This window comes from Homo sapiens, chromosome 2, assembly GCF_000001405.40.
Source record: "Homo sapiens chromosome 2, GRCh38.p14 Primary Assembly".
Classification (NCBI taxonomy): Eukaryota; Metazoa; Chordata; class Mammalia; order Primates; family Hominidae; genus Homo; species Homo sapiens.
The window spans coordinates 159,385,540-159,410,760 of NC_000002.12; the positions used below are offsets into that span (position 1 = coordinate 159,385,540).

The 25,221-nt window shown below is 34.5% G+C and overlaps 1 protein-coding gene across 49 annotated transcripts in view; it reads right to left on the minus strand.

Moving 5' to 3' along the window:
* The window catches only part of BAZ2B (bromodomain adjacent to zinc finger domain 2B), a 397,131-nt gene that overhangs the window by 70,228 nt on the left and 301,682 nt on the right, over window positions 1-25,221 (minus strand). For 29 of the 49 annotated variants that reach the window (XM_047444047.1, XM_047444046.1, XM_047444040.1 and 26 more), the window contains 9 exons: window positions 19,483-19,575; window positions 19,310-19,371; window positions 15,060-15,125; window positions 13,290-13,355; window positions 11,806-11,850; window positions 11,529-11,561; window positions 10,230-10,295; window positions 3,806-3,946; window positions 814-1,068 (listed from right to left, as the gene is read on the minus strand). In XM_047444047.1, the coding sequence (XP_047300003.1) occupies window positions 814-1,068; window positions 3,806-3,946; window positions 10,230-10,295; window positions 11,529-11,561; window positions 11,806-11,850; window positions 13,290-13,355; window positions 15,060-15,125; window positions 19,310-19,371; window positions 19,483-19,575 (827 nt within the window). The remainder of the gene's footprint in view (window positions 1-813; window positions 1,069-3,805; window positions 3,947-10,229; window positions 10,296-11,528; window positions 11,562-11,805; window positions 11,851-13,289; window positions 13,356-15,059; window positions 15,126-19,309; window positions 19,372-19,482; window positions 19,576-25,221) is intronic. The other 20 variants (XM_047444050.1, XM_047444060.1, XM_017003930.2 and 17 more) reach the window with 2 other exon arrangements.

Consider the following 25,221-nt stretch of genomic DNA (forward strand, 5'->3'; position numbering starts at 1 on the left):
TTCAAGTATTTGTTTCTTTCTTTCCCCGCTTCAAATCCTTGGTTCCAAGTCAGGCAGGGAGAAGAGTATGCAAATTCATGGGTAGCAGAAGTTTTAAATTACCTATCAAGCCTTCCATGACTATAAAAGCGACACCAACCTTTCCCCAAGTTTCATCTGGATATTTTATCAGGAATGACAGAGTGGGGAGGTTAAAAAACAGTATTGTTTTCTACCCTTAAAGTGTTATAGGTTTTACTGGCTGGGGATAATAAATAGGGAAACACTGAGGGAGATAGAAGAAAAACAGGTGCATCTGGGAGGTTCTCTCTCCACAATATTATCTAGAGCAAAGCTCCCTGGAATGTATACTGTATTTGGAATTAAGATAAACATGAACTTATTGAGGATCCACTGAGCAGCACAGGGTCTTAACGTGCTGGTCTGTAGGTGCCTTGATTAGCTTCAGTTATTCACAGTGATTGAGAGAGAACAAGGTATAATATCAGAAGGCACATACAAGTTCTAGTTGCCTTATGAATTATGAATTCTGTTGTTGATGAATATCGCTTAAGGATTTCCTTAAATCACCTTGGTCTTTGCCTACAGCTAGAGGAAAAAAGAATAACTTGAGAATGGTCTACATTCCTTAAGCTTTATAACCAGGTTTTCTTTGTATGAAGTGTAACCTGACACAAATCTACAGTTAACTTTGTGAGACATTATGTGGAAAAATTAGATCAATCTATATAATCTTCTGCTAATATGCTAAAGCTATCTACCAATGCACTGACAGTACAAATTTAAAACATTTTATATTTTGTTTTTTTTTACCTTGTATCCTGTTATTAGACCTGGATCACATACAGCAGCTGAGAGGAGCCTCACAAGCAAGTCTTGTACTTCACCCATGCTGTCCCCTATATTTAGCAATCCCTCTTGAAGAACACTCAGGTTTGGAACATCAATATTCACATCAAAGCCCAAAACTTTACCAAAGTTTCGTAAGAACTGCACCACCATGAGACAGTCTGAAAATGTACTTCCAGAGAGAACAAGTCCTGGAATACGAGGCAACTCTGGCAAAGGCTGAAAATAAAATGAAATACAAATAAAATAAAAACAGCTTAATTTTTTAAAAGCCATGATTTCGTATCTTCTAAAGTAAAATAAGCTGCTACCTTTTTTCCCCTCTTGTATTGTACCAGTAGCTTCCTTTGGGATGCTAAATTCTCTGGGGGCATTTCTGTAACCCCCATGGAACTAAGCATAGTGTCTTGAAGTATCTTCATACAAGTAAGCAACCATTAATAAATTTTGGTTGAACTCAATTATGAACTTAGATCTTTGCAAAAGAGACATTAATTTTAATCAACTTGCATATTCAATCAACTGACATATCCATATTAACAAAACATGGATTATATAACTGGAGCAAAAATTAAATAAAATATAAACATTTCAAAAGTACTTTACCATGGACATACTTATAGGGGCATGTGCACCAATTTCTTCTAATGATGATGACATTTAAAAATCACACTTTTTTTGTAGCTTAGAAACAAACAGCATGCATCTGTGGGCTCTATGGTTGGAGAAAGTGGTACCATCTATGGCTAATGAATGCAGATAAATAACTAGGTCCACATAACTAGAATCCATGACCCTGTACATAAACCCAGTTATAATGCAACTAAAGGTCTTTAGGTTTCCCTGTATTTAGGCAAGTATTAGCTTCAGTATTAAAATTAGCTATCTCTGTTGTTATTTCTCAAATATGCTCACATATTAACATTTTAATGACTTAATTGCAGTACCAGTTGTCATCAACATTTTAAAATTTCAATAAATAGGTAATCTGAATTAAAAACATTTTGCCTGTTAATGAGAGCCTAAAAAAGTACTTTAAATTTTAATTGGAAAAAAAGTGACATAAATATTTCTATTTATCTGAATTGGTCCTTGTTCAAAAATATTTCTCCACTCTGCATTTATTGAGGTAACCAATTGAAGACTTTTTCTGTTAATACTGTGTGGAAACACAAAACTATAGATAATAGCTCATCTCATACAAATATTTTATATTCTTCTTGAAAGCCAGTTAATTCTCATTCTCCCTTTTTCTTGAACCACAGGAAACATATACATTTCTATGTAATTCTAAAAATTTATGTAGCAAAGCTGAGCTATTAAAAATATGGCTTAAAATGGACTTACATATTTGATATAGTACATATGAATTTAAATGAAAATAAAAGATACAAGAAAATGAAGCTCACTTAGGATTTAAAAAGCTTGATCACTATGAGCTTATTAAATGTGTTAACTAATTTATATACCCATTCTCTGCTTAGGAAAATTTAAATATCCAAATGACTACAACTAGTAAGTATACTCTCATTTTTATTTAGAAGCATTTATGCTAAGTAAATAAATAGAATATTAATATAGTTCAATCCATTCTAGAGTACTAAAAGTTTTCTTTAAGCACTTTAGAAAAGAGCTTACATAATTGAGTTAATGGGTGCAGCACACCAGCAGGGCACATGTATACATATGTAACTAACCTGCACATTGTGCACATGTACCCTAAAACTTAAAGTATAATAATAATAAAATAAAATAAAAAAAGAGCTTACATAAATCAAGAGATAATCATTATTTGCAAATCATTTGAATATTGCATATAAGTAAATACATATCCTACTAATTAAGTATAATAATATAGAGATGAAATGCATTATTGATATTTTTCTAGAAGTACCATCTTCTTAACTATAGTCAAAACATCATTGATTTTTACTCAAAAGTATATGAAATTATGCTGGTTGCCAAGATTACAGCAATGTTTCTAAATTTATACTTTTATGTATTTCAGCAACATTACATGTCTGTGAAGCACTATGGAAGACAAAACACATATGAGGTGCTTTGGTTGGACACAGTTTCTTGGCTTTCAGGATGATAAACAGTATAGGCTCTGGAGTTTAACAAACTGGAGTTTGAATCCAAATCGCCATTTATTAGTTGTGTAATCTTGGGCAAGTTCCTTAACCTCTTTGTGTCTCAGTTTTCTCATGTATAAATGGGAAGAAATACTAACTCCACAAGATTGTATTGAGGATTAAATGAGAAAATTCAAATAAGTGCTTAGCACAGTCCTAGCATGTAGTAAACATGTTCAATAAAGGTTTGCCACCTAAAGCACTGAAGGAGGTCACAGATTATAAATCCTCATTTATTTAAATATCCATAGGGATGTGGGGAGGAGTTGAGATTTTTCTGTGCCTGGAATCCCAGAACTTTGGGAGGCTGAGGTGGCTGTATCACTTGAGCCCAGGAGTTCAAGACCAGCCAGGACAACATAAGAGTCTGCCGCTACAAAAAATTAAAATAACAAAAACCCAAAAAACTAGCCAGGCATGGTGGCAAGCGCCTGTGGTCCCAGCAACTCAGAAGACTGAGGTGAGAGGACCACTTGAGCCTGGGAACGAGAAGTTGAGGCTTCAGTGAGCTATAATCCTGCCACTGCCCTCTCTCCAGCCTAAATGACAGAGTAAGACCCTGTCTGAAAACAACCAACCAACCAACCAACCAACCAACCAACCAAACAAACAAACAAAAAAACCGCCATTACCAGCACAAGAGCTCCAGAGAGGTTTACTTCTAGCTATCTAGGAAAGGCAAATTGACCTAGAGTTGGAAATTCACTGCTATAGTTAAAAATGAAAGGCTTTCACAATAGCAGCTCTGGCAAAGAAATCAGGTAAGAAAACTGGAAAAATTAAACTTATGAATGAAATGGTGTACATGACGTATAAATTACCTTTTGGTCTGCTAAGCACATGTCTTCATTAGGCTTCTTTAGTTCCTTTGCCATTTCTAATTCTAATCTTCGCTGCTCTAGTTTACGCTCTTTATTTAATCTTTTCTCATCACGTTTTTCTTGTTTCAACCGCTCTTTTTCCTTAAAAAGAAAACCATGTACACATATTCTTCTTAATCATTATATATGTTGGAATAAACTTAGAATTATGTAGCAACATTGAATTATTTTGCTTTTCATTAATCTTACTCTCTAATTTTCAAAATAATCTTATGACTGTATATATTTAATATCAATATTAGATTTGACCTAGACTATTTTGTTATTCAAAATTTGTTCAATCATTTGCCAAGTTATAAGAATAAAATACTTATTAATACAAGCAGGTACATAAAATGAACATGGGCAACTACATATCTTATTAAATAAAGTTATTAGCACAAATTTTAGTGTGGCTCCAGCAAGCAAATGATTTACAGCAGGAAAGTGGAAGTAACATGTTTGAATTTGCACAAGTAGTTCTTTCAAAGTGAATTAGCTAGTCTTAAGACAGCACCTGTGAGGAAAGAAAAATATTATTCACCACCATAAACAACACTTAAGAGAATGTAAAATCAGTTGTGAAGGCAATGTCAAAAGCATTAAGAATGTTTTGGTAATGGCAACAATATGGAAATAACTGACTTGTCTCTCTGTTGTAGGGAATGACTTTGTTGGAGCAAGTGATTTTCTATAATACCATTATCGTTACTTTTTCATCATATCTCAAATATAGCTCTCATTTATTTAGGGGAGAAATAACAGTAGAATCATCAGTCAGTTCTAACCTACTACCGCACACGTGCCACACATTGCTAATTGGTTTACTTTTGTAAGGCTGATTATATCTCTTCCTTGATTAAAAGTCTTTTGATTTTCTATCAAAATAAGGTCCAAGTCCTTACTTTTGAATTCCAGACTCTTCTTTTCTAATCTTACCTCTCATATTTTTTTCTGTGTAGGTTTAGAATTTTCTATTCCTGATGAACATTTATTTCCTCAGCTGCTTATACTGGTTCACTCCAATCAAGATCTTCATTTTTCCCATCTTGCATATTTAAATCCTAATTAAACACTACCAATTTCTATTATGTTTCATAGCTCTTAACTCTGATTTTAACACAGCAGTCATTGCTTTCTGTACTATATTACTATTTTTGCCCATATTCTAATCATCTCCATTTCGATTATCACTTGTAAGCAAGCACCCTGACTGCTGCTGGAGGGAAGGCCAAGAGGGAGAAAGAGAGGAGTGGAGAAGAACATGGGATCAGAGAGTAGAGAAAGTACAGTGTGTTTGAAAAATTGCTAGCAGTTTCAAGACTGGAGTGTAGGCTGCAAGTTGAATAGTTGCTGAATATTATGATAGCCAGAGGCCAGATCCTAAGGGCCTTTTTATATGACATGCACAAGTTACTGTTCATTTTTATACTGCCTCTGAATTTCTGGGTTACTGATTCATGCAGACATTCTGGGAGGACAAACTATAAGGAAGCTTATAAGATTGTTGACACCAGCAAAGTTCTATAATTAATTTTACCAATTATAAACCAAAAAGCAGTTTCTGAGGGTTTGATTTTCAAATCAAATTATTAGTTAATAGCCTGAAGTACTATTATTACTAGCCCTTACAAAAGGGCAGCAGAGTCACCGGTAGAATAACTTTTTTCCCCTAGAACTGAAATTTCGATTCTTAAACCCATGAACTGTTGCTCTAAGAACTTTCCAAAGGAGGGAAGATTTAAGTTTTTGGTTCCTCACCAGAGTAATGAATTAGCATCACTAATAGAAAAAAGCATATTAAATATCTCTTACTGATTTGAAAGTAGATACTGTAAAATTTTTTGCTGCACTTCTATGCCACGTGATGTTTGTCACTAAAGAATTGCATGTACTACAGTGTCTATGCCATATAGCCCAGATGTGTAGCAGTCTATATACCATCTAAGGTTTGGGCATGTCACTCTATGATGTCTGCACAATGATGAAACTGATTAATGACACACTTCTCAGAATGTATTGTCATCGTTAAGTGACACATGGCTTTACACAGAGCTAATCCAGATCTATTAATGATGTCCATAACAGCAATTATAAACATCATAATTGAGACTACTAGTTACTAAAGTTGTTAAAAATGGTTGCTATTACTTCTTAAAAAGAGAGAAAATCCATGTGACACTGATGCTCTTTTCACTGTGCCAACTTCCCACTGGTAGCAATCCTGGAGGTACATACATACTCAATAGACACACGGACAAGCTAGATAGAGTGCACTGAATGCCATAAGATAAATATGGATTATATTCTTGGAGTATCAATTTTAGCTGGTGACATGCAATACTTTTTTCCACTTGAAAAAGTAAAATATGGAATAGAATGCAAAAGTCATATCGATATTTATGATAAAATGGAGATTTCCAAAAAATTAGAGAAATCGGTGTGACCTTTATCAGTTAAAGACAAGCATTTATTACTGTCTACTATTAGGCATACTTTAATGGAAATGTGGAGTCTCTCAATTCAGCATGAATTGTATAGAACTAATACAAATTCTGTGGTTATGGTACAAGTTAACTCTGAAAGAGCCAGAGCTTCCAAGGTCCCCTCAACCACCAACTAATATTTATAATGGCATATAAAGCCAGTCACAATCTAGCCCCACACAAGCGCTTGTCTCACATCTCACAATTCACAGTGGATTTCTCATGTTCCAGCCTCACTGTATGACACACCTGTGTGGAGAAGACAGCATAGCCCCTTTGAAGTTACTGCTTGGATGATTAATGACGATGAAGCAACAACAAAGCCAAGACGGGCATGTACACTAGGTTAAAATGGCTAATACCCTCTTTGTACCCCCACCCCCAGGTCTTGTTTAGTCACAATACTGTACCTTTGTATATGCCATACCTACTGTCTAGAATGCCTAGTTCCTCCTCCTTCACAAGAAGTCTGTATAAAGCCTGTTTTTTTTTTATCGTTCCCACAACTACTTCAGACATGGTAGTACTTCTTGTTTTTGAGCTTCCATATAACTTATTATAGCATTTGTTGCACTGTGTAGCAATTATTTGTTTAAAGTTGATCTCTCTCACTCAAGTATAAGCCTCTTCTAGAGGGCAGAGGAACTAACTTATTCACCTGTTTCTTCATGGACCTATTCAATTTCCCCCCTGGACACCTGGAGAAAGTTTTTAATGAGTTTATCTTTCTCTTTGACTCTTGAGCCTGTATCAGTCCAACTTTCCTCTCCCACTGGTCTCCATAGTCTAAGTATTGTTCTTACTTCTGACTACAGTAGTGATATGACTGTAATAGATACATGCGGTATGCCATGGCATATAAAAATTATTTGAGCATTTATAAATTTGCTGAATGATTAATTCTTCAAATGACACAAACTAAAATTAAGGTAACATTTTGAACTGGTTATTAAACGAATTCAATAGGCAATTTCTTCTTCACTTTTAATATTTTACTCTGTGGGCAAACATAATTGCTATCTTCCATTTTCAGTCAAGAGTATTTATAAACCTGTAATCCAAAAGTGGAATTAAATACATTTATTAAGAATATTTAATTACATTTAGAAATTTAAAAATTATCTAAAGGCTTTTTTGAAAAGTTAACATTTGACTGATGACTGAACAACAAATAGGAACCATGTGAATATTTGGTGGAAAAACAGCAATAGTACAGACCGTTCATTCAGGAATAATAACAAGACAAAAATGATCAGAATATAGTGCATAAGGGACAAATTGTATGAAGTAAAACTGGAGTGAGAGGCAGAGGTCAGTGGGAAAATGCCATGGTGAGGAGTCTGAATTTTATCGTAATTGCAATGAGAGGCCCCTGGATAGTGTCAGGATATGATCTGGTTTACTTTTTGAAAAGATCACTTTGGCTGCTCTGTAGAGAATGCATAGGGAGTGCTGAGGAAAGCAATAATGAGAACAGAGAAACCAGGCTCGCTCTTTCAGCTATTAGGATTTAAGTCATTACTTTATGTACATATGCACTTATTGGCTTTATTTTGGTTTAATATTTTAACACAGTTGCCCTGCCATTTCTTTTCAAAGTATTTATGCTTAATATGTCCAGCCCTATTAATAACTTGTATTGCTCCAATATAGGTGGGTTAATTTTCCTTCAGCTCTTCTCCCTTTATCTGCTACCTGTTTTTAGACTTAAAAGTAATTCAGATTTGCCCATGAGTATTCTGTATTCTACTTCTGTTTCTTTTTGCTTAGGACAAAGGTAGGTAGGAGAGGGAGAGCTATACCAGGTTTCTGGTATCTCTCAGTTTTATTGGAAGAACTGTAGCGGACTCACTCTATTTAGTCAAGAGTATATCCTTTTCCTCTTGAGAGGTGCTCTTGGGCTTTGATGGATTCTTAGAATATCTCATTTTCATCAGCTGTATTTATCCTGTGGCTACCACCCTCCACTCAACCCAGATCTCCTTCACCTCTCTGCAGCAGCTTCCCCCACTCTCCCCAGGCCCTAGTGGGCAAATATGAAAAACCAGCGGGAGGGTTCATGTCTCTGAGGCCTTTGGGGTGCCTCTTTCACCTGGGCATTCCCCCTCTCAGATGATCTCATTCTTACTATTTTACTGGATCTTCTCTTCTAATGAAGCCTAGTATGCCTAAAGATAACGTTCTGGGTTATTTTAGTTAGCTTTCCTCCCTGCCAAGAAAAACCAGAATGGCAAGCCCTGGTTCTTTTTATTCCTTCTGATTAAAAAAAAAAACAAAACAAAACCCATGATTGGTAGGGAAGAACTTGTCTCCTGAGGGATTTTCTAGGTCTTTTCCCTGAGCTACTAATTGCTCCCTCCATTTCCATCTCTCCAGATTGAGAGAATTAGGTTCAGTGTTCAGGCTTTTAATTAGTCCCCTTCCTTACTCTTCCCTTCACTGTACTGTTTCCATAAGCGAATAGAGAGCAGCCATGCCAATTCCTGGAATACGTTACCTCTCTCTTTCCCTGACTGTCATTTTTCAGAGATTATGGTTACAATTCCACGCACAGATGTATAGATTCAATTATTATGTTAGGTATAGAGGGTGTCAATAGGCCTGGGTAATCAAAAGGTTAGGGAAAAAAAGACAGCAGGAAAAGTGTTGGAGTAAAACTTCCATAACCTTTAGGAAACGTCACAGAAAGTGATTGTTGTAATATATGTTACATGCTATGTTAAGTCTATGCTAAGAGGTACTCTATGTCAGTAGTTCGCAACCTGGGATGCATCTTGCTAGGCCCATTCTACACATACGTAGTATCAATGGTTAAGTACTATGTGGTGCCAGGCACTGTTCCAAGAACTTTACATACACAGAGACACATATCCATTTACTCATCTCTTCAGCCCTACAAAACAGAATTCAGTATTATCTTCATTTTATAGATGAAATGAATCACAGAGAAGTTAAATAACATGCCCAAGGTCATATAGCTGGAAAGTAATGAAACCAGAATTCAAATTCAGATAATCTGGCTACTTTGCACAGGTTTCAAAACAATACACCTATTTTCTCTACACATCAAAAACCTATATTGCTAATTTAAGCTAGAGCTGAAACCAAAATACTGAAATACAGCCTCCCAGCTTCTAGATCAAACAGTGTCATTTTCATTAATTCTCACTTATTAAATGCTTATCTCACTCAAAAATCCCATACCTAGGAGGTAGGTATCATCTCAATTTTAAAAAAATGGCTTGAAAATGTCAAGCAAATTGGTGGCAGAACCAGCAGGGGAACCTGTGTCTTTCAACCTCCAAAGCCCCAGTTATAATGACTCTATTCAACTGTTTCAATACAGAATGTTATTCCTTTGTAACATATATCTATTTCAACCTTTAAGTGATTTCTATTAACCTCCAAATAAGCTCATTCTGATTGTACTGCAATAATTTTCTTATTCTGAATTATTTGTTAAAAGTTATTTTAAGAAAAGTACTTAGCCTAATTTTACATAGAGAATGCTAAAGAATAATTCTTAGGGCAGAAATCCATGGTCGGAATGATTTGTGTTTGAATTAGGACATACAGGATTTGTCTAGGCATGCTGTAATACTAGTTTTGTGAAACTCTGGTGTGATAAATAGCTACTTTTATCTAAACCAATGTTATTTACTACACTAAAAAAAGACAATTAAAATCTTAGCCAGGAAAACTAACACATACATTGGAACTCTTCCTACATTCTTTTATGTTCTAACACTCAGTTGCTATCTCTAAACTTTTGGTTTGCATATGAAAACCAGTAAATCACAACAAACCTATATTCTGAAAAATTTATATTTAGAAGAGCCAATGCTTTAGGAAAAAGCATTACTTTATAAGGTAATATTTTTCTAGAAACATACACTTACTTCTGCTTTTTTACGAGCTTCCATAGCTTTCATAAGCATCATGTGTTGTCGCCTTCGCTCTCGTTCCTATTAGGCCAGATAAAATGTGGAAAATAACTCAGCCACAATTAACAGTTTGATTTTCCAATGAAAAAACAAAAACAAAAACAAAACAAAAACTCAGTATAGCATGTTTAGCATTTATAGACAAGTCACAGTAAATACTAAATATAAGACAAGAATGGCCAGTCTGTGCATGTTTTAGTTCAGGTTTAGAAAGCAAATACAACAATCAAAAGCAAAAAGGTAAAGCAATGAACATGGAGACAGTGTAAACAGAAGCATACAAGATTTACTTATGGTCAGTTGTGATGCTCCTTCAAAAGCTGGCAGAACAAAAAGCATAATGGTTGGCTGGAACAGGTCAGTTACCTTACATCTGCTATTAGAAAAACCACAAATACTATGGCCAATTAAACTAACGGTTGTGTTGTTCTTAAAATTTTAGATCAGGAAGAAATTGATTTATAGTCACTTTAACTTCATGATTTTAGAGTAGGTTATTTTCAGTACAAAATCATTTTGCAAATCCAATAAGCCACCAATAAATTAGAGTTTTTTTAAGGCTTTTATACCAATTTAGTTAAACTAGTCTTGTTTCACATACACCACCAATGAAATGGGATATTCCTATTTACTGATGTCTGCCACCTGATACTCTATTTAAAGCCACAAAAGCTGCACCATGGGCTCACAGGTGGAATCTTAAAGGCACAGTATGAAAATAAGGTAAGCACTAGTTTAATTTGACATTCTCACTTTACTTTTAAAATAAAAAAATCACTTATTTATAATATCTCATCGATTTTTTTGTTTAAGCATATTTGGTTTCTCCAAAGGGATATTTCTAAAATTATTTCTAAAATTTGTCTATGAAACCAGAATATATTTCATATTCTCTCATCAAACAAACTCAAAATTCCCACTGTATTCAATGGCAGTTTTGCATCTAGAATGATGGGAGAATACGGGTCATAATTATATCTAATTGTATAGTGATCCAACTTTCTTTGTGACATCAGTAATGTAAATTTTTAGAGAGCAGCCTTATTTAAGGCTTGTACAATTCAATGTAAAATCTTGGAGATGCATCATACTTCTTTATAGACAGACAAGCAGATGTATGCAATGCACTGTGCTGTAAAGCCATGCAGCAGTATGTAATATGACAGCAGCCAGTGCTACACTTTATGCATTGCTATGACAACCATATCACAACCAAATCACAATGCGGTGTTAGATGTACAAAAATAAACATACCCATACCATATCTAGTCTATGCCTCTCCAACTCCTGGTAGAAAGAGTTGGCACAACATTATGAAACAGAAATCACAGAGTCATAAAACCAATTTTTTAACCCCCCAAAAAGACACCAATACCAAAGCAAGGCAATAAACTGTAGGTTGAAGGAAAAACTTAAGCAGAAATTATATCAGAAATTTTAAAGAAAATATTTTGAAGATTTTCCCCCAAATAGGTTTAAGCAATATTATAAAATGTACATTCAACAATTGTATAACTATACATATACAGACCTGATGTTTCAGAAGAACAGCTTGTTGTCTTCTCATTTCTTTTTCCTTAAAAATAAGAAACTTTTAATACGTGATTTTTAGAGAAGATTTAGAACATGCTAAAAGTATTAAAAGTTCCTTTTCTGAGATTCTATAGTTTTTCATTAGGTTGAACCATATGAAATGGCCAATATTCAATTATTTTTTATTTATAAAATGTCAATTCGATTTTGTATGCTTCTACCTAACAAATACTTACATAGAGATCATATAATATGGTAAATATGGTAGCAAGGATCTTTCTTCAGTAGTCATTTTAACTTAAAATTTAACGAATGACTGACCTAACTGCACACTTCAATGGCACATTCATTGAACCAACTAGCTAGATGGTCAGAGCCTATCAGATATAACCCACACATGTATTTTTAAATCAGTTTAATACATTATGGTGCAACCCTCAAATCTAGCTGATTAGAACTCTCTCCATTCTGAATATAAACTCTCAAATATACTCTATAATTAACATCATTTTTTTTTCATTTCTATACACTACGTATGAATTAAAGTGACAAAAACTAGGCAATCAGTGTGAAATTTTCATGTCCACCTATAATTCAGGGCACCATTCCAAGGGGATGGGGCTTAAGGCAAACCATTCTAGGAATGTCACTGATCTCAGTATTTCTATGAAGTTACAATATGGATGAAATTAATATTAACGGCAGACATGAAAAGGTAGAAATTTAAAAAATAAAGTAAGACAGTCTATGTAGAAAAAATAAACAGTTCCCTGGCTTTACAAAGTATAACTGTGGTGGCTGTTTCCAGTACCAGTAGGCTCACCCAGCTACCCCCTTTCAGTATTCAGTTACTGGTGGACGGCAGGGTGGGGGAGGGGAGGAAGGGGACAACTCTCCTATACCCCATGCCAGGAAATCAGAACAAAACACCCCCAAATACATGAAGTTAAAATAATTAAAAGCAGCTAATTTTATTATTGGTAAATAACAGTTGATGAAGTTTGGCTTTTGTTTCTGTAGGCTTTTCATTTTTAATAGATAAAACAGTTGCTGAATATTAACAAAGAAAAAGTTATAAAGGGGAGAATCAGATTGAGACTCAAATATAAACATACCTATACCATATCTAGTTTATGCCTAAACATAAACATAAACATAAACATAAATAACACACAAAACAGTTTTGGGGGGGGTCATTCTTATCTAGCAAAACTACATACAGGTATTAAGCAACAATTTGCATTTCTGATTTGATGTCTCCTAAACAGCTCAAAGCATTACAAAAAACCCTGCATAATAAAATAAAAATACACATACAATATACATACAAATAAAAACATACACTATACACATGTAGTATCTGCTAAACATATTTTCAGATAGTCATTTTGAAGAAAGCTATTTTTTCATATAACTGATGCCAGTATAACATATAGTTTTTATTTTTCAAAAATAAAAACTCTGATTCTCATCTAAACTAACCTTTATTCGTTTCTCGGCCTCCAATAATTTGGCATTTGCCGCTTCTTCCTTCTTTTTCTTTTTAGCCTGTGCATGCAAAACAGGTCTCAAAGTCATGCAACAGCACCACTACAACTTGCAAATAATGTCAGACTTGAAATGAAGCTACATGTCTCACAAGGTACGAAACAGTATGTAACACATATGTAGACAATTACAGATTTCCCCCCAGTTAACATTATGTTTAACGTAATAATTTTGTTTCTAATTTATAGAATAGCATTAGAATACACAAAAATTTCTTAGAGTCATAAGAATATGACAGCTTTTCTTCTTCAAGCTTTGTTAAGTCTGAAATAATTGAGTGTTTATGTTCTTTTACCTTAAAATTTAATCACAGAAAAGTGATTTTATGTCACATTGTTTTTCTGATTTTAAAAGTAAAACATAATCACTGTAAAACATTTAGAAAACAGAATAGATTTTAATTAATAAATAAAAATTATTTCAAGAATTAGTAATATTTGAGAATGAACCTGTTTATTTAAAATTTATTTTTAATACTTGAAAATTTGAGATAAAGAAATTCATTATTGGTTTATGTCTATTAAGTGAAGCATATTAAGTCTGATTTTCCCCATCTCTGTATAGTGTGGTTAAGTTCAAGTGTTTTTTTTTTAATAGAATGAAAACTTGTAATCTCATCTTTCATGAGGCACAATCTATTGAGACCATGCTATTTATCAAACATAAGCTTCATAATCTTAAAATCATTAACTGTGTAGAAGTTTCATAACTAGTAGTTACTGTCAGTTTACTTTAAAATAAAAACATTTTCAATTTCCGGTTTTTAAAATTAATTTGAAATGGGTAAGAAAAAATGTGTGTGTTTCTAGAAGGAATAAAACTGTAACAGAGAAAACCTCAGCTATCCGGAGCCCTCAGGGAATAAACTGTTCTATAAAGCAGCAGTTTCCGGAATGGTGGAGAAGTTGTAATAAATTTAAACATGAAAAGTTTATTTTCACTCTTTTAGATGGAAATAATTTTGAGACATGCCTGCTTAGACACAGTACACTAAACGTAATTTGGCGTTTTCTTGATGACTCAGGGCAACTATTTTCAACATCAGTTATACTGCACAGCTCCAAAGAGTAATGCCTTTGGGCTATTAAGGTTTTGAAAATTGCTTGCTATTCAAATAAAAGATTACAGGCTGTTGCTAGGCTTTTCAGTTCCTATATATGCTAGCTGAAGTTTTCCTGTATTTTTTCTTTGCTGTCTTTTGCCTATTACTTTTGCTGTTGCCAACAGATGTCCTCTATCTCTATTCTAATTAGCCTTGCAGGGAAGAGGGATATGCTAGAAACCAGAAAAACAATCTGATAAAACTTTGCACATTTAAAATTTACTTTTACTTTTGAAATCTTACTTCTGTAAACATTTGTTTCTAAACTAAAAGTAAATATCAGACTATAAGCCCTAATGATTTTTCTTTTGTTGTTTACTTTTATAAAAGTAAAACATTTTAGCGCATGAACTTTATGACAACTCCACTGACTGCTCAGAAGTTTTCCTGTTTCTTTTGCCTCATTTTGTATATCTTTACTGTTGGGATTAGATTAGCTTGCTAAATAAGGCTCAGATAAAGTTTTATTCTATGCAGAATGTTTAAAGAGAATATCTGACAAACAATTTGTGTGAGAAAACATGCACGCAAAATATTTATTTTTGCAGACTTAAAAATATATGGCTAAATTACTTTAATTATATTAAATTTAAGACTTCTACCTCTAGAATTTGCTGAGCTCGAAGTTCTTTTTCCATTCTGATTTGCTGTATTCTCTTAATTTTTTCCTGTAGGAAAAGTTATGATAACTTGAGATAATAAAATAAACTATCTGAGTAAAGAGTATTTGAGTGGAATCAAATAATTAAAAATATAAGTACAGGTCAGGCGCAGTGGCTCACACCTGTAATCCCAGCACTTTGGGAGGCCAAGGTGGGCGGATCACAAGGTCAGGAGATCGAGACCATCCTGGCTAACACAGTGAAACCTCGTCTCTACTAAAAATATTTAAAAAAAATTAGCAGGGCTTGGTGGCGGGCACCTGTAGTCCCAACTACTCGGGAGGCTGAGGCAGGAGAATGGCGTGAACCCAGGAGGTGGAGCTTGCAGTCAGCCAAGATGTGCCACTGCACTCCAGCCTGGGCGACAGAGCGAGACTCCGTCTCAAAATAAAAAAAAAAAAGTACAAAATTACCAAAGGATGGACATAAAAATTTCATTATTTAGCGTAAAACCATATATATTTTCATGTCTGAAATTAATATGATTTGATAAGGTTTCTCACAGTAATTTGTAAAATGCAAATGCTAAATAAACAGAAACTCAGTGAACCAAGCTGATTAAACTATATAGCCTGAAGATCTTTATAGATATTTGCAGTTACAAATAATACTTAACTTGAAATAATATAGGACTGAATAGCAGAAAAATCATGTATCAGCAGTCAGAAAACATACAGCCAATTCTGGATTACAGTCATTTATTGAATGGTCTTGAGCAAATAATAACTATTCTTCTATAAAATAGTGAGAGGTGTTTGCCCTTTCTCATTTGTCACAATTAAATAAAATGCTTTAAAAAGTATATAGTGACACAATTGTAACATTATTATTAACAATAATTTCCATTCTAAAATTTATTTCATATGTTGAATAGCATAATATAACATTGCTTTTAATTACAATTAGCCCATTTCAGAAATAACCTGTAACATTATTTTAAAATTAATTAATTATAATTTAACATTCCAGGGAATTATCTGTAGGACATAATTGGGGTACACGTTGTCTAAATTTAATGAACTGGTTATTGGATATGTTTTATAACTTAGTGATCATATAAATTTTGATAAAAATTTATATTTTAACTTAAAAAATTATCTCATATTCTATAAACACATTCTTAGCAATTTCATGTTCCTTAATCCGTTCAAAAGTCCCAAATTGGCACTGATGAGAATAAATACAAGTTAAAAAAGAAAACTCAAAGTTTCCTACTTGAAAATTGTACTTATCCTAGAATTTCCAGTGCCAACACCTGTATTTCACAATGCCTGCTCCCATCTCCAGATGCTAGTTGTACCTATTGAAGCTATACATTAATATGCATTTTAATTTTTTTAATGTACACTGATGTTATTGATTCCCTGCAGGATTCTACTGCAGGATGATGAAATTTTAGGAATTACTGTTTTGATTTTACAAGACTGATCACATTCTTTGATTTTGGTGATCTTATCATGGTACTGAATATTAATTGTAGGCTGTCAAAAATAAAAACCCCAAAGTGGGCCAAGTACTGTGGCTCACACCTGTAATCCTAGCACTCTGGGAGGCCGAGGCGGGCAGATCACCTGAGGTCAGGAGTTCGAGAAACAAACAGTGCTAGGTGGTGAAACCCCATCTCTACTAAAAATGCAAAAAATTAGCTGGGTGTGGTGGTGCATGCCTATAATCCCAGCTACCTGGGAGGCTGAGGCAGGAGAATTGCTGGAACCCAGGAGGCGGAGGCTGCAGTGAGCAGAGATCGTGCCACTGAATTCCAGCCTGGGCAACAGAGGGAGACTCTGTCTAAAAAACAAACAAACAAAAAACAAAACAAAACAAAAAACAAAACCCAAAACCCCAAAGTGTATCTTTTGTGTAATTTCCAAATCTTAGAAAAGATTGATCCATATTTGAAGTATTTATTTGAATTAGAACTTGATATCTGAGAAAAGTATACTCTTGATCTGACTTTTCTGCTCTTGTCAATTATAACATTATAAGGTGCTATGTTTTCAAGCCAGCAAAAGTCACTTGTTGTTCTCTTATGCACAGACAGGCAGGGAATCTTGGGGCTTACGTACACAGTCTAAAGCTTTATCTTAAGTATTCAAGTGACTTTTATATATATCCATACATATTTGGTAGTGTTATCATTAGCATGCAGATAAACATGGTAAATTATTATAATACAGGTTAACTTTGTAATGTTGAGTACTCAGCCACTGAGCCGGTCACTTTACATTTAATATCTTGTCAATCATTAAAAAATCATAAAAGCTTAAATTATCTTCTTTTTACATAAGAGAAAACTGAGGTTCTCAGAAAGTAAATATTTTGTCTAAAGTCCAATACTTAGTAAATATAGAGTCCTCGTCAGATCCCAATGCCTGTGTGCCTCCTGCTTTGTAATAATGTTTCTGAAATTTTCCAGAAAATTGTCTTAAGGACTATCTGGTGATATTTTTGGTCTACTAGGTGGAAAAAATAATCCAAAGGATGAAAACACATGTACTATTTTATTCTAGATCAAATGCTGACTTTAAAATAGACCCTATATAACAGAGAGTATGAGTAGAATTACTCTATACTTTGATTCACTTTGTTGAATCAAATAAATGAGATGGTATTCTGAGATTGGCCTCAGATAAATATCTTGATAAATATTAAGACCAGTTCATTTGCATTAATATTGCTGGAAACTTTGGAGCTCAATGCTTTTTCAATGAGTAGCAAAGACCATGTGGATTCAGGTTGTAGCTACTGTAAGACTTTAGGATCATAAAGCTGAATTAAAAGTACTGATGGGATCTAATGAGTCTCCAGCCATTAGTAAATAGAATAAGCTATAAAACTTTTTCAATAAAAGTATAACAGAAACAACAGTATTTCACTTAAAAATGAAATATGAACTTATTTTTTCATATATACTCTTTAGTAAATATATTTTAACGAATGCATTCACTAGCCTATTTCAGGTCAATCTTACAATGTCTAGCAGTCACAATTAACAAACTAAGGATGGAATTCAAGTTGACAACTGCTACTTTAAATTATGGTGGTAAAAGAGTACACTGTGTAGTTGGATGTTTTATATTTATCTTTAAAAAGTTGAGCATGTGTTTTGTTGCCAGTCACTGCAGTAGGCACTTTATGTTCATTATCTCATTTATTCAGATATTGCAGTTAACTTCTTTTATGATGGAAGAAATAAAGACTTAAGGGTTAAGCCATTCATCTAAGGTCACAAAATTATTAAGTAGCAGAGCCCATATTTAACTGTAGGCTGACTGACTACAAACTTAAATCCTAAATCCCAACTCTATATCAACTTCTCTAGTCATATTGCTTTAGTTAATACTGGAAGAAACCTTGGAGATAACCACATCAAATCCAACCCAAGCCATTTATTTAGCAGGTATTTATATAGTAACATAATTGATTTCATTTCATTCTCAGAAATAACTACATGCTTCCTAATATTTTTAAAAGAATAGTACTTTCTCCCCATTTCCTTTCTGCTTTAATGTTACCATGAATATGAGGAGATGGGAGAGTAGTTTACACATTCTCATCTTAAATGAAGCTGAATACCTTCTCACTTAATTTTTACCTATGAAAATTTAAAAATTACTTCTCTTACCTAAACTTAATTTTGAAAATCACATGGGGAGAAATATTGTAGATACAAGACAGAGAACTCTGGATTTGCTAAAATAATGCTGTCATCATTTTTTTTTTTTTTTTTGCAGTGGCAACTTTTAAGTAATCCTGAAAGCATTAAGAAGCAATGAAGGCAAATCTTATTTTGTATAACTTGAATTTAATTTTCTACTAATATTTTACATGTTTAAGAAAAACAAGCTTTTATTAAAATTTGAACATTCGAGCAATATACTTCATTGACTGATACATTAATTTAAAAATTCTGAAAATTGTTCAAGATATCAACTTATACAAAGTCTACCAGGATATTAAAGTACTTACACAAATTTACTGTTTGGTAATCATTTCTTTAAACACTTGGAAGTAGAAGACTTTATTAAAAAGGTAAAATTTTAATTAATAGAAGATAGCAACTTTCTAAATAAGACACAAATATTAATGTGAAATATAGTTATTTAAGAAATCAAAAATAATGTACATTACTAACAAATCCTCAAAATAAGTCCCATATTTTAAAAGTCACTTCCAATGTATACACATACCTGCTGTTTCATAATCTTTATCTGTTCTTTTTGCTTCCGCTTCTCCTCAGCAGCCATTATTGCTACAAGAAACCAAAGGATAGATATCATCAAAAAGGGAATGAAGAAAAGAAAACTCTTATGAATTCCCCAGTACTGACTCTTCGAGTTTATGTTACATTTAAATCACTCACCTTGTTGTTTTTTGGCTTCTTTAGCAACCCGAGCCTGTTCCTGCTTTTGAAGTTTTCTCAAAAGCTTTATTTGTGCTGCTTGCCTGGCTATTTCTGAAAAACACAAAATTTCAAAGAATATTAACAACTTTGTGTAACTACTAACCAAAAACAATAACTGTGTGAAAATGGTATCATCATAAAGGATATAATTATTACTTTTTTTTTTGAGATGAAGTCTCGCTCTGTTGCCCAGGCTGGAGTGCAGTGGTGCGATCGCGGCTCACTGCAATCTCCGCCTCCCAGGTTCAAGTGATTCTCCTGCCTCAGCCTCCCAAGTAGCTGGGATTACAGGCGTGCGCCACCACACCCAGCTAATTTTTGTATTTTTAGTAGAGATGGGGTTTCACCATGTTGACCAGGATGGTCTCCATCTCCTGACCTCATGATCTGCCCCGCCTCGGCCTCCCAAAGTGCTGGGATTACAGGTGTGAGCCACCACTCCCAGCCGAGGATATAATATTTAAGAAAATTGCCTAAGGTCAGACAGATACCAAGTAGAAGAGTGGTGTGGTAGACAACGTCATGTTCATTCCAACGGAAACTGAATGTTCATTCCAATGGAAATAATCAAATTATTTCATCAAATATGATCCCATATCTAGGACTACATAAAAATGAGGTTTCTTTTAATCTTTATCAGAGAGGCTTATTTAAGTACATTTTTTTTCACATTTCAAGTAAACCCCACTTAGTGGGAAAATAGCTGCTAATATTTTAAGACTTGTAATGTAGCTTCAGTCTTAACATATAAAAAAAAAAGAAAGACTCTCAATTAAAACAAATACAAAGTCCCCTCCCACCCAAACTTAGTATTTCAATTAGCTATAATGGTTAAGTTCCTGAATCCAGTGATATTTTCATTTATGAAGGAGAGGGACTAAATCTCCTAAATAAAAAGAAAGCAGAATTTCAATGACTTTTAAAGACAACCTAGTTCTTATAATCTTCAAGGATACATGTATGAAACTAGGGTAGATGAACAAAGTTAATGTCCCCAATTCTTCATTTCTCCTTTTATCCATGACATTTGTAATGTGACTTTGGAGCAATTCCCATCAAGAGGTGGAATATATTTTCCCGTCCCTTGATTCTGAACTCAACCATGTGATTTTCCATGGCTAAGAGGATGTTAGCAGTTGTGATGAAAACAGAGCTTGAAAGTTTAGTTGTATTCTTTCGGCTTTTGTTCTTGTGCTTTGCCCAAGACTGAAGATATGATTTGGGGGCTAGGCTATTGGGAGATTGGGACACAGGGAGCAGTTGACCCTACAAATGTGAACAAGCCCAGCCAAGATAAGCAAAGCTGCTTAGCTAATTTCCAGCTGATTCCATGTGCACAAGTGATTAAGACAGTGTTGTGTGCTACTAAGGTTTGGTGGTTGTTACCAAGCATTACTGTGGCAAAGGGTGTAACAGACACAGAAACCATGTAATATCCTTGCTTTCTTCTGCTGGCAAACTTGGTCTGAATACTTCAAACTCTAAAAGTGGTATATAATATTACTCATATAATCATTTTAGAAAGCATCACTTTGTATTATACATTGTTTAAATTTTGTAGCCACTGAACAAAGAAACCTAAATTATGTTCATTGACAAGGAACATAATTGCTAACACGTGAATCACTTGAGCTCTAAAAATTTCCACCATTTATTGATCGCAGGCACTATTGTGTTAAATTTTTCTTTTTCTTTCTTTTCTTTTTTTTTGAAACGGAGTCTTGCTCTGTTCCCAGGCTGGAGTGCAGTGGCGTGATCTCGGCTCACTGCAAGCTCCACCTCCCAGGTTTACGCCATTCTCCTGCCTCAGCCTCCCGAGCAGCTGGGACTACAGGCGCCCGCCACCACGCCCAGCTAATTTTTTATACTTTTAGTAGAGACGGGGTTTCACCGTGTTAGACAGGATGGTCTCGATCTCCTGACCTCGTGATTCACCTGCCTCGGCCTCCCAAAGTGCTGGGATTACAGGCGTGAGCCAGCGTGCCCGGCCTGTTGTGTTAAATTTACACCACCTTGTTTAATGTTCACAGCTACTTAATAAGATCAACATGATTGCCCCGCTTACACAAAAAATAACTAAGGCTCCTAGAGGTTAAATAGCATAGCCAAGAAAAAAACCCACAACTGGCTGGGCACAGTGGCTCATGCCTGTAATCCCAGCACTTTGGGAGGCTGAGGTAGGTGGATCACTTGAGGTCAGGACTTCGAGACCAGCCTGGCCAACATATGAAGCCCCCACCCCTACTAAAAATACAAAAATTAGCCAGGCGTGGTGGTGGGCACCTGTCATCCCAGTTACTTGGGAGGTTGAAGCAGAAGAACTGCTTGATCCCGGGAGGAAGAGGTTGCAGTGAGCTGAGATTGCACCACTGCACTCCAGTGAGACTCTGTCTCAAAAAAACCCCCAAAGAAACCCCAGGACTTTCTGACTCCACAGTCTATATGCCACTATTTCTAAAAATCTTTAAGCAAAGTTTAAATGCCTTAAGATTTTAGCTAAGAACGTAACCATATGTCCTCATAACAGCTGAAGTGAAGTTGGTCACTATGGCCAGTTTTCTATCACTGAGACTTTTAAAAAGGAGAAGAGATTAAAAAAGTCGAATTTCATCTAGTAAACTGGAAGTGTTAATGAAAAATAAAATGGAAGATGATGATAAAGTATTATCTCCAATGTCCCAACCATTTTCAATATTAGGAGGTTACAGGCATCATCAAAAATTTCTGGGTCACACAAAAAAGATGTCCTGTTCACTAAATACTCTAGGACATAAAAACCTATAAACTGACCTTCAGGGTCAGCAACCTCTGATAATAATATGGGTGAAGAATATTATTCTCATCTATAATAATGCCAGATAAATATTTCTTTAACATTAAGAATTGAAAGTTTTGAATTCTACAATAGAGGCCTGACTTTGTCTTGAAATGTAAAGATGTGCTGATAAAAATGTTTCCTAGAAAATATGGCATAAGTACGATCTTTTGCTGCAAGCTAAACTGATATTCTCTAATATAAGTTTAACTTTTAATAAGAAAATTCTATAATATATATAGAACCATGTTTGTGTATGAGCGTATCAATCAATTTCAAGCCCTACACAAGTACACAGTAATTTTTGTTTATTTGTTTGAGACAAGGTCTTATTCTGTGACCCAGGTGAAGTGGTATGATCATAGCTTGCTGTAGCCTCCAACTCCTGGGCTCAAGTGATCCTCTCCCCTCAGCCTCCTGAATAACCAGGACTATAGGAGTGCACCACTTTACCCAGCTAATTTTTTAAAAATTTCTTTTTGTGGTCTTGCTTTATTTCCCGGGCTGGTATTGAACTCCTGGCTTCAAGCAATCCTCTCACCTTGGCCTCCCAAAGTGCTAGGATTACACAGGTATAAGCCACTGTGTCTGGCCAGTAATTTAAAAAAATATTTGGGCCAAAAAAATTTAAAAGTTCAACTCACATCTTTTTACTTTAGCAAGAAATATAAAATTTTAACTAATCATTAAAAATTTACATAGATTAAATTTTACATTATGGGCAGTTGGAAAAGAAGATGATGTGAAAAAAAGAAAAAGGCCGGGCGCAGCAGCTCACGTCTGTAATCCCAGCACTTTGGGAGGCCAAGACAGATGGATCACCTGAGGTCAGGAGTTCGAGGCCACCCTGGCCAACATGGTGAAAACCGAACTCTACTAAAAATAGCAAAAATTAGCCGGGCGTTGTGGTGGGTGCCTGTAATCCCAGCTACTCAGGAGGCTGAGGCAGGAGAATCGCTGAACGCAGGAGGCAGAGGTTGCAGTGAGCTGAGATCGCGCCATTGCACTTCAGCCTGGGCAACAAGAGTGAAACTCTATCTCAAAATAAAAATAAAGAAAAAAGAAGAAGAAAAAAAGAGAATACAGAGGAGAGAGAATGAGTTAGATACCTAGAAAAGTTCACCCAAGCTGTAGAAATAAATTACTTCCAGTATCTTCTCATTTATTTGTTTTTTTTTTGGTTGGTGAATATATTATAATTACCTTTTGAAATACTAATTTGGAAAGTATCTTTTGTGGCTTAAGAAACTGTCTGCTTTAATTTCAAAGATGAAGTTTATTTTCAGATAGAATTAGAGATATTTTGGATATAACTCATTTCTTTGATCCTAAGATGCATTTTTAAACATTTTGACATCTCTAAGGTCAGAATGTAACTGATAACTGGCAGCTCTTTTCTTTCTTAGTGTACATCTTAAAATAACGGTGCATGGTATAGATTACTTATAGGCATCTCAGTTTCAATCGCATATGAAATGAATAGGTGCTACTTCATATTTTGGAAAATTTGAGATATTAATAGTATCAGTCAATCAACAAGCAGGTTTATTTATATAGAATGAAAGTCTTTATCATATTCAAACTTGGTCAGATTTTTACCTATATTCTGAGAAATTAGAGTTCTCATTTCACAACGTTTGGATGTACATTCAAAACTCACATTTATCTCACTATTCTGAAACTTTCTTCAAATTAAGTCTGGTTTTTCAGTCTAGTTGGTCATAGAAGGATAATAATATACAACAAAAACTTCTTCTAGAATCCTCTCAGATAACCCCCCAAAGTGTTACCAAAGAAGGCTTTTAGAAATGAAAAAGGTGATAAACTGTTTCATTTTTACTTTCTTTTCTTCACAGGAAAAAATGCAAACAATACTCCATACACTTGTAAATATTAATAGATTATTTACTTACTGTTAAATAATCTTTATATACATGTTGAGAAAGAGTACATGTAATATACAATAAGGTCAAAGGTAACAGAACTTGCAAAATGCAATCCAATGTATTATAACAAGGGTAAACTATGTAATTGAATACAAATCAATTTGAAATCTGGAGGGAGAATAAACATTCGGTAAAAGTTGAATAATTAACTTCTACTTTGTTACAACAAAAATATAGTTAATTTTCTAAATTTAAATTTGCTATTTTAGATTCTAACTTCTAATGATAATTAGATACGGCAAATATCCATGAAGATCCCATGTTTTGATTATCAGTTAATTTCAAACTTTCTTATTTTATGCAAACAATGTCCACATTCCCCAGCATTAAACATTATTCAGAAGGGTCAATAGCTTACTGACAATATCAGTTTTTAAAACCCATCTATGCCTGTTAATTTATTGACTTTTTAACCTTCACTAGTAACTCTTTGGGATGAAAGTCTTATAAGAAGCCAAATAAAATAAAAAAATCTGACTACCATACTGATATGGTTTGGCTCTGTGTTCGTACCCAAATCTCATCTCAAACTGTAATCCCCACGTGTCAAAGGAGGGACCTGGTGGGTGGGGATTGGATCATGAGGGGGTTTCCCCCCATGCTGTTCTCATGATAGTAAGTGAGTTCTCATGAGATCTGCTAGTTTTCGAAGTGGTGGATTCCCTTGCTCTCTCTCTCTTCTGGGTGCCTTGTGAAGAAGGTGGCTGCTTCCCCTTCCACCATGAGTGTAAGTTCCCTGAGGCCTCCCCAGCCATGCGAAACTGTGAGTCAATTAAACTTCTTCCTTTATAAATTACCCAGTCTCGGGTCATAACTTTATAGCAGTGTGAGAATAGACTAATACACATACTAAGATAAAAAATTTATATGATAACTGCTAGGCAGTTAAGCTATTAGTCAAAGTATGAACTGGAGACAATATTTGCCTGCTATCCA